Source organism: Homo sapiens, chromosome 6 (assembly GCF_000001405.40).
Source record: "Homo sapiens chromosome 6, GRCh38.p14 Primary Assembly".
Classification (NCBI taxonomy): Eukaryota; Metazoa; Chordata; class Mammalia; order Primates; family Hominidae; genus Homo; species Homo sapiens.
The window spans coordinates 19,814,237-19,827,428 of NC_000006.12; positions in this window are offsets into that span (position 1 = coordinate 19,814,237).

Below are 13,192 nucleotides of genomic sequence, written 5' to 3' on the forward strand. Positions count from 1 at the left end.
TATACCATACTAAGGTAAGATGTTAATAATATGAGAAACTGGGTGTGGAGTATATCCAATGTATCTGTCTTTCCAATGTCTTTGTAAATCTAAAATAGTTCTAAAAAATAAAGTTTATTTAAAAAGAAGGAGAAGGAGGAAAACACAGACTAACCTGTGAGGATGTGTCCTCCAAAACCCTCAGGACACTGGAAGCACCCAGGGGACCTGAACTCATGAATTCCTTGGGTATAGGGATTGATTCATGCTGACATTCTCCATGGCCAGTGCACAGTATCTGGTTTTAAATAGTGGTCAATGCATAGTTACTGAATTAAAATTTATTTCCAGTAAGGAAGACGCAAGAGGCAATAAAGATAATGTTTTTCTTCTGATGATAAATAAAACTGCAAAATATATTTTGTGTACTTAAGTTGATTGAAAATTTTGTAGGGATATCCAGTTCAACAGAGTTCACCCTGACATTTGGAAAAAACTGTGCTCTTAGTGCAGAAAGTGACACAAGACTCCATTCTTTAAGAATACTACTATTTTGCCAGACGTGGTGGCTCACGCCTGTAATCCCAGCACTTTGGGAGGCTGAGGTAGGCGGATCATGAGCGCAGGAGATCGAGACCATTCTGGGCTAACACAGTGAAACCCCGTCTCTACTAAAAATGCAAAAATTAGCTGGGAGTGGTGACACGTTCCTGTAATCCCAGCTACTCAGGAGGCTGAGGCAGGAGAATCGCTTGAAAACCCAGGAGGCGGAGGTCACAGTGAGCCGAGATCGTGCCACTACACTCCAGCCTGGGCAACAGAGTGAGACTCCATCTCAAAAAAAATAAAAAAGAAAAAAGAATACTGCTATTTTTTCTGATGTTCTGATGTTAACCTGGAGGAAAACCATCCTTATAAAAATAAGATATTAAAATCAGGGAAGAAAATACACAAATAGAGATTGGGTACATAATATCTAATAGTTTTAAGTAAAGAATAAAGGTTCAGTTTCTTTTTCATATAAAAGGAAGCAAACATATTAAAATTCTCCTAAGTACTAATATTTTAAGTACATAGACTGAAAATTGAAAGTGTTCATATATTTTTGATACGAAATTGTTCTCTGATGTTTTTTAGTCTAGTAAAAGTCCCTTGACAAATGATAATTATTAAATAGTATTTTATCCATGGTTACTTCAAAATAATTTGTTATATAGACATTGTATTTTTAAAGTTTGTCTATTTCATGATATTTGTCTTTCAGTATGGTAAGGTACAGTAGAAACTTTATACTTAAAAGAAGAAGATGTTGCAGAAAGGAAAGATGGCCAAAAAATAAAGGTTCAGATCATGAATTTGAAAGCTTTCCTCTGTCCAGATTCTCCACATTGACTCAATCAGTTGGGGGTCTTGCTGATGACTCAGGACTCTGCTAAACTGTCTTGCTTATCACAAGGGCGACTATCAGCCACACAAATATAAAGCTGTAACCCTCTCTCCTTGGCAAGGAAGTAAAAACCAAATAGATTTTTAGCTTGAACAGGCAACCCAAACTGATAGTTTATTCTTGACATATTGAGAAAGATAAAAAGGTCATTTTTTGGTATTCTCAGAATAAATCAATGATGTTTTAAAAAGTACTCATGTCCAGATGATGGTAATTACATGAGACAGATGTGGTGTTTCTCTCTCAAAATAAAATAAATGAAAGGAATGAAGAAAAGGAGAGAGGACAAAGAAATGCATATGATTGAAAGCAACAGGGTAGTAAGAGTTCTGGGTGGTATAGAGAGGAAAGAAAACTGAGTAGATACCCTCTCTTCCTGCCAATAATTCTATGAGTTGACTATCTAACCTGCTTTAAGGCCTACTACACTTGTAAGTTTATGTGCCTTTTTTTTTTTTTGAGATGGAGTCTTGCTCTGTCACCCAGGCTAGAGTGCAGTGTCACCATCTTGGCTCACTGCAAGCTCCGCCTGCCAGGTTCACACCATTCTACTGTCTCAGCCTTCCGAGTAGCTGGGATTACAGGTGCCCGCTACCACGCCCAGCTAATTTTTTGTATTTTTAGTAGAGACGGGGTTTCACCATGTTAGCCAGGATGGTCTCGATCTCCTGACCTGGTGATCCACCCGCCTCAGCCTCCCAAAGTGCTGGGATTACAGGTGTGAGCCACCGCGCCGGCTGTTTGTTTAGGTGCCTTTTCTAACTTTCTTAACAACTTCAACAAAAAATTATTATGCATATATTTTAGAAATGAGGATGCTGGAGGGTCAGATTGTTTAGTAACTGATCCAAGGTCACCTACCTAGTAGGAAGCAAACCCAGGGGTCAAATGTAGATCTATTTGATTCCATAAACCATGGAACCTTCTATACTACCTCTCAGAATTTCCCTGTCAAAACTTTTCCGGAATGATTTTGGATTAAAAATTTTGATTGGTTAATTCATAGTAATAAGAGCTACCAAAAACCCAATTCATTGTTGAAACTAATTGAACCTCATCAATTATTTCAACTTTTTTTGTATCTCTAATCTTTGCTATCTTTTGCGATCCATAAAAAAAGATTTTCTTATTTATGCCAAATTCTTTATGCTATACTATGATACAAACCAAATCAATCTGCAATTTATTGCACTGGTCCCATTATGCTACATCCGCATGCAGAATGTTGAAAGCAATGCTCAAAACTCTGATTTTCTGTATATGTTATTTGTGACCCACATAGTGTTTTAATTCTGAACATTTCTTTTGGTTAATTATTATTGCTTCCAATTCTCTGTGGAAAGTTTGCATCTTGACTCTTAATTTCTTAAAATATCAGTGGTGGCCATTTTACAGTCTGTGTCTGAAAACACCGTTATCTGGATCCCACTGTAGGTCTGTTTCTGGTGCCTGTTTTTCTTTTGTTTTTTGGTCACATCCTGTCTCCTTGTTTGCCTGGTTGTTTTCTTTTCTTTTCTTTTTTGAGATGGAGTCTCGCTCTGTCACCCAAGCTGGAGTGCAGTGGCGTGATCTCTGGCTCACTGCAACCTCCGCCTCCCGGGTTCAAGTGATTCTCCTGCCTCAGCCTCCTGAGTAGCTGGGATTACACGCATGCACTACCATGCCTGGCTAATTTTTGTATTTTTAGTAGAGATGGGGTTTCACCATGTTGGCCAGGCTGGTCTCAAACTCCTGACCTCAGGCGATCTGCCCGCCTTGGCTCCCAAAGTGCTGGGATTGCAGGTGGGAAACACCATGTCCAGCCTGGCTGGTTGTTTTCTATTGCCAGATGTCGCATGTGGAAATTGTCACAAGACTCTGTATAATGCTTTGTTCCTCTAGAGAAAATGTACACATGCTTTGGCAAGCAGCTAGGTTAGATGCACTAGTAACCTCAAAACACTTTAATCCAATCAGCAATTGGAGATCATCTGAGGTTGAGTTTCAGTTCCTGTTAGATTTGATATAGTTCCAGTTCAGTATTATCCTTAGGTATAACTCCTCTGGATCCAAATTGCCTGCCTGAGATATTTACCATGATCCCTACTCTTTAACAAACACTGACCTCCCATTTTTGGTCCCCCAGCTCTATGAGTCTGTCCAGCTCTCTGTTTTCAACCTTTAAGCCACAGCTTTCAAAATCAACAATCATCTTTAAGAGAAAAGTGAACCCAAATACCAGGTTTACCTCCATGGACTTTCATCTTCTCCCTGCTCTTGACTCCATAATTCTTCACTGTTTTGTTGGCTCTGCAAAAATTTCAGATTTTAATATTTTTTAATATTTAGTTTGGCTTCTCTAGCTGTTACTGGGAAGGTTGATCCAAAATAACCTAGGCCATCATTGCTGGAAGAGGATTTACCTATACAATATCAATTATTTTTACTTACTGTCAATAAAGACATATAGTTTCGACTTAAATTGAGATGTTTGGTTTCTCATAAAAAATTAGGAGCTATGGCAAACTGATCCCAAGTTTCTGCATATCAGCCATCTGTTGAATCAGAGTAAGGGCTGCCACTTAGAGATGGGTCAGGCAGCATCCAGTTCACAAGCATCGTTTGTTCCAACATCTTAGTTTCTTATACCAGAAACTTGACCAGTGGCAGAATGCCTAAAACTAAGACGTAAGAAACATCTAAACACCTAAAACTAAGATGTAAGATGTTTCTTACATCTTAGTTTCTTAAACTTTTATTCATTTCTGCCACTTGTCTGGCCCTTTTAGGCATTTGCTTTTCTGACCTCTGGTTCAAGTGAGTAATTACAAACCAGGCAACAGGGATCCAAATAAAATATCCCAAGTTCTTTTCCCACAATATTATTTAGCACCCAGCAGCAACACAGGTTCTGCTTAGTCCCATTGATAAACCCTCAGAACTAAAGAAATGTTCGTTCATATACTTCTGTGCATTTACTTGAAGTAAATCTCACAACATTGTTTTTATAGTATATTCTACACCAAGTTTGCAATCATAGATATTTCTCTTTTTTAACCCACAAACTTGGATTATCTACAACATGACCAAGGAATTCTAATCTGTATCAATTATTTAAAGATTTAAAATTCCTTCTTTAATTGAATCTCATCCTTGTTTCCTCAACTGAACTAACTAAATTATTGTGCATGGAATTTTGCAAAAATTAATTTGAATAATAGTGATTGTTAAGGTTTCAGGGGAGAGGTTAACTTTCTCATAGATTCTATCCATGATTGGCAAATATTCATTCCATTTCTCACTCATCAAATATTTGAGCAGACGCCCTGTACCAGGCAGGCAGTGTCCTGAATGCTGAAGATGCCAAGATGAATAAGACACAAGCCCTGACCTAGAGAAGCTCACTGTGGTAGGGAGACAGACATGAAACACAGTCCTTACAACACTCTGTGATAAATATTATAATCGAGTTATGAACCAAGAGCTATGGGAGTAAATGACTAGGTATGTCTGAGGAGTTAAAAAAAAAAAAAGCTTCTCAGAGCAAATGGCATTTCAACCTGCTCTTAAAAGGATAATCTTGGTGCTGGTCCAGTACAGAAGAGGAAGGGGGTTTTTGTGTCTTCTTACCTGAACCGTGCTACCCCAGAAGCTCCCACTAGTAACCCTGCCTCACATTTTTAACTCTAGCAATCCATTATCTATACGGATCTTTTTTTTTTTTGAGACAGAGTTTCACTCCTGTTGCCCAGGCTGGAGTGCAGTGGCACCATCTCGGCTCACTGCAACCTCCACCTCCCCGGTTCAAGCAATTCAACTGCCTTAGCCTCCCAAGTAGCTGGGATTACAGGTGCCCACTACCATGCCCAGCTAATTTGTTGTATTTTTAGTAGAGACGGGGTTTCACCATGTTGACCAGGATAGTCTTGAACTCCTGACCTCAGGTGATCCGCTCGCCTCGGCCTTCCAAAGTGCTGGGATTACAAGCATGAGCCACTGCGCCCAGCCTATACTGATCTTTCCAAATCACAAATATTATCACTGATTTCCCATCCTTTTCACAATGAATTCAGACCCCTTGGCTGGCATCAAAGGCCTTTGTCATTCTAAGCCCTGATTCAACATCCAGCTCCAGTTCCTGCCATGCCTCCCAGGCAGGGAATGTGCTGCAGGTGGAATGGAACTTAAAAGACCATGGTACCACATGTCTCCATGTCTTTTGCATGAGTTTCCTCTGCCTCATGCATGTTGTCTAAGCCTCTTTCCATAGCACTTTATGAATGCCTGTATTAGCACCTATCCACTATATAGTAAAACCTATTTACCTTATCTGAGTTCATCCAAAAGACCACTGGATCCATATAGCTTGGCCCATTACTTAACACACAACTGTTTCTCAATGTATATTTGGGATCAATGAATGAATTAAAGAGACACTGCCATAACTAGTGTGGCGAAATTCGAGGGTAAAGGGAGAACCTGGAATGAGATGAGATGCATAAGGTACCACTATGTATGAAGATAACTATATCCCAGGTTATATACATACTTTTATTAAGATGCTGCTGCTAAATCTCTCAGAAATACTGTTGTTCACTCGTGTCCAAGAGTGTATCATAGTCAACAGATTTTTCAGTAACATTTGGTTTAAAAAAATATCCTTCTTGGACCATAATAATAAAGGAAAATTTGAGATACCCTGACAGTGGCATCAGAAACACACACACACACATACATATCTATGTATGTGTGTGTGTGTGTATATTACTTAAAGTAAAACATAAGTATAGCTACATCTTTGAATGGATTTTTCTAAGGCTTTTGTCTGTGCTATTTCTGTTTATTCTTCCTGATTGCAGATCTCAGTTGTTATCTGTTGGGTCTGAGATCTTCATAGGTCTAACTCGGGTCCTAATTTTCCTCAAAAGTTGGAGTTCTAAATGTAATTTGGTACCCAGATTGTACTCTGGAATGGATAAAGTACATTAGTGGAAAAACTGGTGAAATTCAAATGAAGTTTGTAGCTTAGTTGATAGTAATATAACTAAGTTCTTGATAATCACAAATGTGGCATAGTTATGGAAGATGGAAGTATCTGGGAAAACTGGATAAAGAGTGTATAGGAACAATCTGGATCTATCTTTGCAACTTTTCTGTACACCTAAAATTATTCCAAATAAAAATTTTATTTAAAAAAAATTGAAGAACATTAAGAATTATGTTCAGAGCATTATGTCACCTACAGAGAAATCAAATTCACTTGAAGACTGACCCCATGATGTATTATTACAACCTGATATATCTTAGGCGCCTCATACTGCAGGGAATCAATGACTTCCTTTACAAACGTTCTTCTGTGCTATTCTTTGCCTTCCAGACTTTCTGGATTTTAGATTTGTATGTATATTCTAGGGAAAATTCACATGTATCTTGTTTGTTGTGCGTATTGTCTTCATCTAGAACTGATATTCCCAGGGTCCCTCATTAAGCTAGAAAAGTCACTGGGAAGTAATCTGTATTCTTTGAATACTACTACTAAACAAGAACAGCTAAATATAAAAAATAAAAAACATTTACCATAGAAATTCTTTGGTGGTATATTTCTTTTTCATTTTTAATATCAATAACAGTAATTCATGTTTGTTGTGGAAATTTTAGGAAGTAAAGACAAAATGTGTATTTTGTTTTTATTGTTATAAATTAATATTTAATTGTTCTAAGGAAAAAGAACATTCAATGTACTGTAATTACATGTTAAGATGACTGTGGAAACAGAATGAAATGCTAGATTTTGTTATGACAAGCAGACGTTTCTAAGTAATATCACATAAACAGTACATAGCTTAACAAAGCAAGAAGCATCTTCTGCTGGGTAATTCCATGGCTTGCGCCTATATAAATACAACCTACATAAATGAGAACAAAAACTTGTAAGAATCCAGTGACTTGAAATATCAGATAATTGGCTGGGCACGGTGGCTTACGCCTATAATCCCAGCACTTTGGGAGGCCAAGGCGGGCAGATCACCTGAGGTCACGAGTTCAAGACCAGCCTCACCAACATGGGGAAACCCCATCTCTACTAAAAATATGAAAATCAGCCAGGTGTGGTGGCGCACGTCTGTAATCCCAGCTACTTGGGAGGCTGAGGCAGGAGAATCACTTGAACCCACAAGGCGGAGGTTGCAGTGAGCCAAGATCGCACCACTGTACTCCAGCCTGGGTGACAGAGTGAGACTCTGTCTCAAAAGAAACAAACAAACAAGGAAATATCAGATAATTAGCCAACCTACTGCCTAATCCGCTCTGTGGAACATCTCAGCTTAATAATAAAGTTATTAAGTGACTCATTCTTCTCCAAGACTGCTGGCTACTAGCGGGGCCTCTTCTTAATGCTACCAAGAAGAGTATTCTCTCTCTGAGAATATGCAAAAATATCATTTTAATATATGAGATTCTGAAATCCACAGGCAAATGGATCAAATAAAGAAAGGACTAACCTAAGTGGGAATAATTTTGTTTGACCCCCACAAAGCGACTGGGCAAATCAGACCAGATCCATAATCAGAGTTTCCAAGTGGCTGGCAGCGCTGTTTCCTGACCAAAGTTAGAGAAGTGCAAAAGACACAGGTGACCTCACAGGCCGCCTGACAAACCCCTGAATGTTCTCTGGTGTAGTCAGAGATGAAAGGAGGGTAGAAGATAAGAGGAGTTTTAAATTACAGATCTTAGCATCAGTGTGTGCTAGCTGAAGGAGGAGGCTCAGAGGGCGATGAACATGCTACAAAGAGCCTTGTGAAGTGGGGCATGGAGTGTGTCCCCTAATCAGCGGACATTCTATTAGAGGGCATTCATTCATTTCATCTATCCTATTTACAAGGAAACCCAGGAATAATTTCAAATGACAAGTAAGAAAAAGAGAAAAATATATATATTTTTTGACTTAAAGACTTGGAAAAGATTCTTCTACAATGCATTCTTCCACTTGGAAAGTAGGCACTTTGGGTGGCTGTATCAACAGTATGAAAACACAGAAAAGCATTTTTTCTTGAAAGAAATTACTAGATGGTATCTTAGCAGACTGAATTTAGAAACAGGTGATAATATTTTTACACAAATTGATATGCTCCTATCTACATTCTGAATATAGCAAATTTAAAAGTCGTCTTTCTTTCCTGTGCTTGCTGTCCCGACGCACAAGATGATGTAGATAAGGCACCTCCCATTTTAATGGGCTCCTCCCTTGCTTGTGAGGTTTCTTCCAGGCTGTGTCATGTTAACAGCATTTGACCTGGCTGAGGAACTCCCTGCTCCTTGAAACCATTTCTTTCCTTCTCTTCTCTTTCTCACTGGCCACTCTTCTCATGCTGACTTTCTGCCTCCTCTTCTCCGCAACCTCGGAACGTTGAAGGGATGCAGAACTTGGCTCTGGGACCCCCTCTCTAACTACTCTCTCTCCCTAGAAGACATTCTCCAGTCTTACCATTTCATATTCCATTCACGTAGAGATAATCACTCCCAAATGCATATCTCCAGCCCAAATGTATATCTCCAGCCCATATGCCTCCCCTGAACACTAGACTTAGATGTCCAATTACCTACTCAACATTGCCATATTAAGCTTAGTAGGCATCTCAAATTAATATTTGCAGAATTAAACTCTTCTTCCCCCAAACCTGCTCCTCACACAGGATTCTCTGTCAATATCAAAGTCAACCCTTCCAGATGTTGAGACCAAATGCTGCAGAATCGTTTTTGACTCTTCTCTATGACCCACATTCGCTCCATAGGCAAATCCCACTGGCCATGCCTTCCAAATACATTCAGTTACTTCTCAACACCTCTGCAGAATCACCCTGGTCAAAGCCTGGATGATTACAGTAGCCTCCTCCTTCCTTCTGTTCTTTTGTTCCACAGAATGGTCTCAACACAGCCGCCAGAGGCTCTTCCCCTATGTCTCTCAATATCTTACTGACCATTGCTTAAAAACTTGCTTGAGGGAATGGCTGTCATTCCCGTGGAAGACAAATCATAATACCGTTCAACTTAAATTTGTTTAAAAAGAAGATTTCATATGAACATGTTAATTAATTAATTGGAAGCATATAATACTGGAGTTGAGCAGAAAGTTACAAATTAATCAGTTCTTTTTCTTTTGAGACAGAGTTTTGTTCTGTCGCCCAGGCTGGAGTGCAGTGGTACAATCTCGGCTCACTGCAACCTCCGCCTCCCAGGTTCAAGCGATTCTTCTGCCTCAGCCTCCCGAGTAGCTGGGATTATAGGCGCGTGCCACCACGCCTGGCTAATTTTTGTGTTTTTAGTAGATACGAGGTTTCGACACGTTGGCCAGGCTGGTCTTGAACTCCTGACTTCAGGTGATCCGCCTGCCTGGGCCTCCCAAAGTGCTGAGATTACAGGCATGAGCCACTACACCCAGCCCTCAAATCAATCAGTTTTATGCTCTCGTTGCATTGAGGACAAAGTTGAAGCAGAGAAGATTAAATGAGCCTCACTCAGTCCATGGTAGAGCTAGCACCACAGTCAGATTAGGTCTCAGGTCTCATTACTTCTCAGAGCAGGGATCTATGAGGTTTTATTTATTTATTTATTTATTTATTTATTTATTTATTTATTTTTTCCCCAGAATATTTTGCAAAGGATTAGTCACATTTTCCCCAGATCAACTGATTTTTTCTTCAGATAATGTGCTAATTACAGAAGTTATATAGTTCAGTTTCATAAAAAGATACGTTGTATGTAACTTCGGCTTAAAATGAAGTACCAGAGTTAAGAATATGTTTCTCATGATTTATAATTCTGTTGAATTTTGAGATCTTTTAGGGAGTGAGCTCATGTTGTTCTCACCAAACTCAGTGAAGAGTTTTCATTGTCAGAAGAAGGGCTCCACCCTCGCCTTTGCTGGCTCTGATCAACATCAATGCCAAAGCGGCTGTGGTGGTTACACTGCATTGGGAGTACTCCAAAGCGAAACTTGGCTGGGTAAACTCTACTCCTCCTTTCTCTCCTAAGAGGCTATATTTGGAGAACCAGTTTGCCCTGCTCATCTTGGGGTTTTTATATTTATTTTTTGACAAATTCTTCCCCAACCATGCCTGGCTTGATATTAAGCTTGAAAGTATAGCATGCACATGAATACTAGTATTTAAATGATTAGTGGTTAGACTTCTAAGACTAAGTATACTGTGGATGCATACCTATCTATATAGATATTGGTTGGCCTCCCAGGCTCAGGTAATTCTCCCACTTCAACCTCCCAAGTAGCTGAGACTATACAGACATGCCAACATGGCCGGCTAAATTTTGTATATTTTGTAGAGACAGGGTTTTGCCATGTTGCCCAGGCTGGTTTCAAACTCCTGGGCTTAAGCAATCAGCCCACCTTGGCCTCCCAAAGTGCTGGGATTACAGGTGTGAGTCACCAAACCCAGCTTTTAAAGTTCTTCTCCTACCTTTACTGATGGCAACTGCTAACTAATTTTAGTCTTTCATTTTGAGATAACATCTTTCAGAATTGTTGTGAGGTTAAAGGTTACATCTATATGTAGAGCCATTTCATAGTGCTTAATACATAGTCAATAAATAATAAATAATGCATATACTTCTCTAAATTGTAAACTTTAAGTAACACAGTTATAGGGAAATTAGCTATTTATTTTCCTGCTTTAATTAGAAGATTGAATTTGCCAATGCTCTGTTGCATATGAGGTAAGTTGTTGCAAATTCTTTTTAGAACCTTACAGACTCTACTTTCTAGTGTCCGTAAAAAAGCAAGTCGGTAAAATTGTGGAAGATAACAAGAATTCATCTGTATGATAAAACTATAGAGTAATGGGTCTATTTTTCTTTGATGATTTATAGAAATAAAAATTGATCATTTAGAACCAAACTTTGTGTTTTAAGATCACAGCTACTCAATATCCCCCAAGTTGCAGATGACATTATTGTGTTAGATGGTAAACATGCACATAGCAAACTCGTTGCCTTAAAATAAGTGCTAAATCTTTTGCAAAATAAAATATTAGTGTTATTGATATAGGCCAACTACCTTCATCACCAAGATGCCTCTTTATCTCTTGGCTGCCTTTACTAAAGTGGTATTAGGTATTCAGAAGTGAAGTCCAGTGAAGCATTTTACTAAATCTATCATTGTAAAGCTAATTGGATGTTGCACATTAAGAAGAAATAGCCAGCACAGTGATGTAAGAAGGCTGTGGAATCAGAATCATACGTTTGTAAGAGACCTAGATAATTTCCAGTTCAATCACCTAGCCAGATCATAATATTCTACTTTAAATATCTGAATGTAGGGGAAATTCCATGTATTTAGTAAATAGATCATGTTCTAGTAACTGTAATTAACATAGCTCATTGGTTCAAAATACAGTCTCTAATATTTTTGCCTCCTTGTATTTGCTTTCCTAAATGTCATACCTGGATCCCTGACCACATCCCTTGTATTTTCTTATCTATGTTATATCTGAAAAATTTGGGCATTTGCTTAGTTAGTGCCTCGATACTTCTGAATTGCTGATCCATTCTACTTTTTCTCCACCCACCACCAACTATAAAATACCCTTTATTCAGCATGTTTTACAATCATTGGTAAAATCATAAAAATTAAATGGGCCCAAAGAGAAGTCATATTGTTCTAGATGTGTGATTTTTATTCATGACACAGGAAGGAGAATAGCAGGGAGATTCTGAGCCAGTTCCCCTTCTCTGCCATGTACCATCCCATTAGCAAGTTGAAAAATGGTCTTTGGAGCTGGCTACCACACTAGCTTCACCTGTTTACTCACCCCTAATATCTAGGATTATCTCCAAAATTAGTGACAAGAACAGTAGAAATAGAACTATGGTCATCACATCTTTCTACTTTTTGAAACAATTCTAAGTTTGATCAAGACATAAGACAGATAACACTTATTTTTTAGGCTACTCAAGTCAGAAGGAAGGAGGAGGCCCCTTTATAACACCTGCCATAAATATTGTAGAACCAGCAGTTTAAGAAAATTAGAGCCAATCTTCTTCAGCTCACCAGAACAGATACAAAGATGCTCCAGGAGCCTGATGCCTAGGCAAACACGCTACTGCAGGATACTATCACCATTTCATGTCCTTTCAGAAATTAAATAATAGATTTCTGATTGCCTGGATTATAAAACTGCTGTTTCATCAACAAGTTAAAACATTAATCATATTCCAACTGGAAACAGGAGAAATCATTTTTATTCTAAGAATATTTTTATTCCAAGACAAATTTTGCCAAAATAAACAACATGTATTGGTGAGATTATAGCCATTTTAAAACTCATATTGTTGAATAGAACACTTATACTTACTTAAATTAGATAACTCTGTGTTTGGCCATTCCAAAAACTAAATGAGCATCTGAATCTCTAAAAAGAAACTTCTTTTTATCAAAAAAGAAATTTCTTGATAAAAATTGCTTTTCTATTTACTTAGGCCTCATTTACATTTTTACCAATAGGACAGAGGGTTTCTCTTTTGCCATGAGATTACAGTTTAGCAGTTACCACGATTTCAAAAGAAAACTGGTCCAACCTAGGGGAATAAAAAGATTTGGGTCAATAAGGGTAAATATAGTGATTAGCTGGTGTGCAGGAAAGATATAAACTCTATTGCCAAATTGTTTGTAGCCGCATTTATGTTCTGGTTGTAGGAGATGATTGAGCAAGAAAATAAAGAGTTGAAAGGAAAGAATAGGAAGTTGAGCCTAGCGAAGAACGCTGAGTAGAGAGAGAA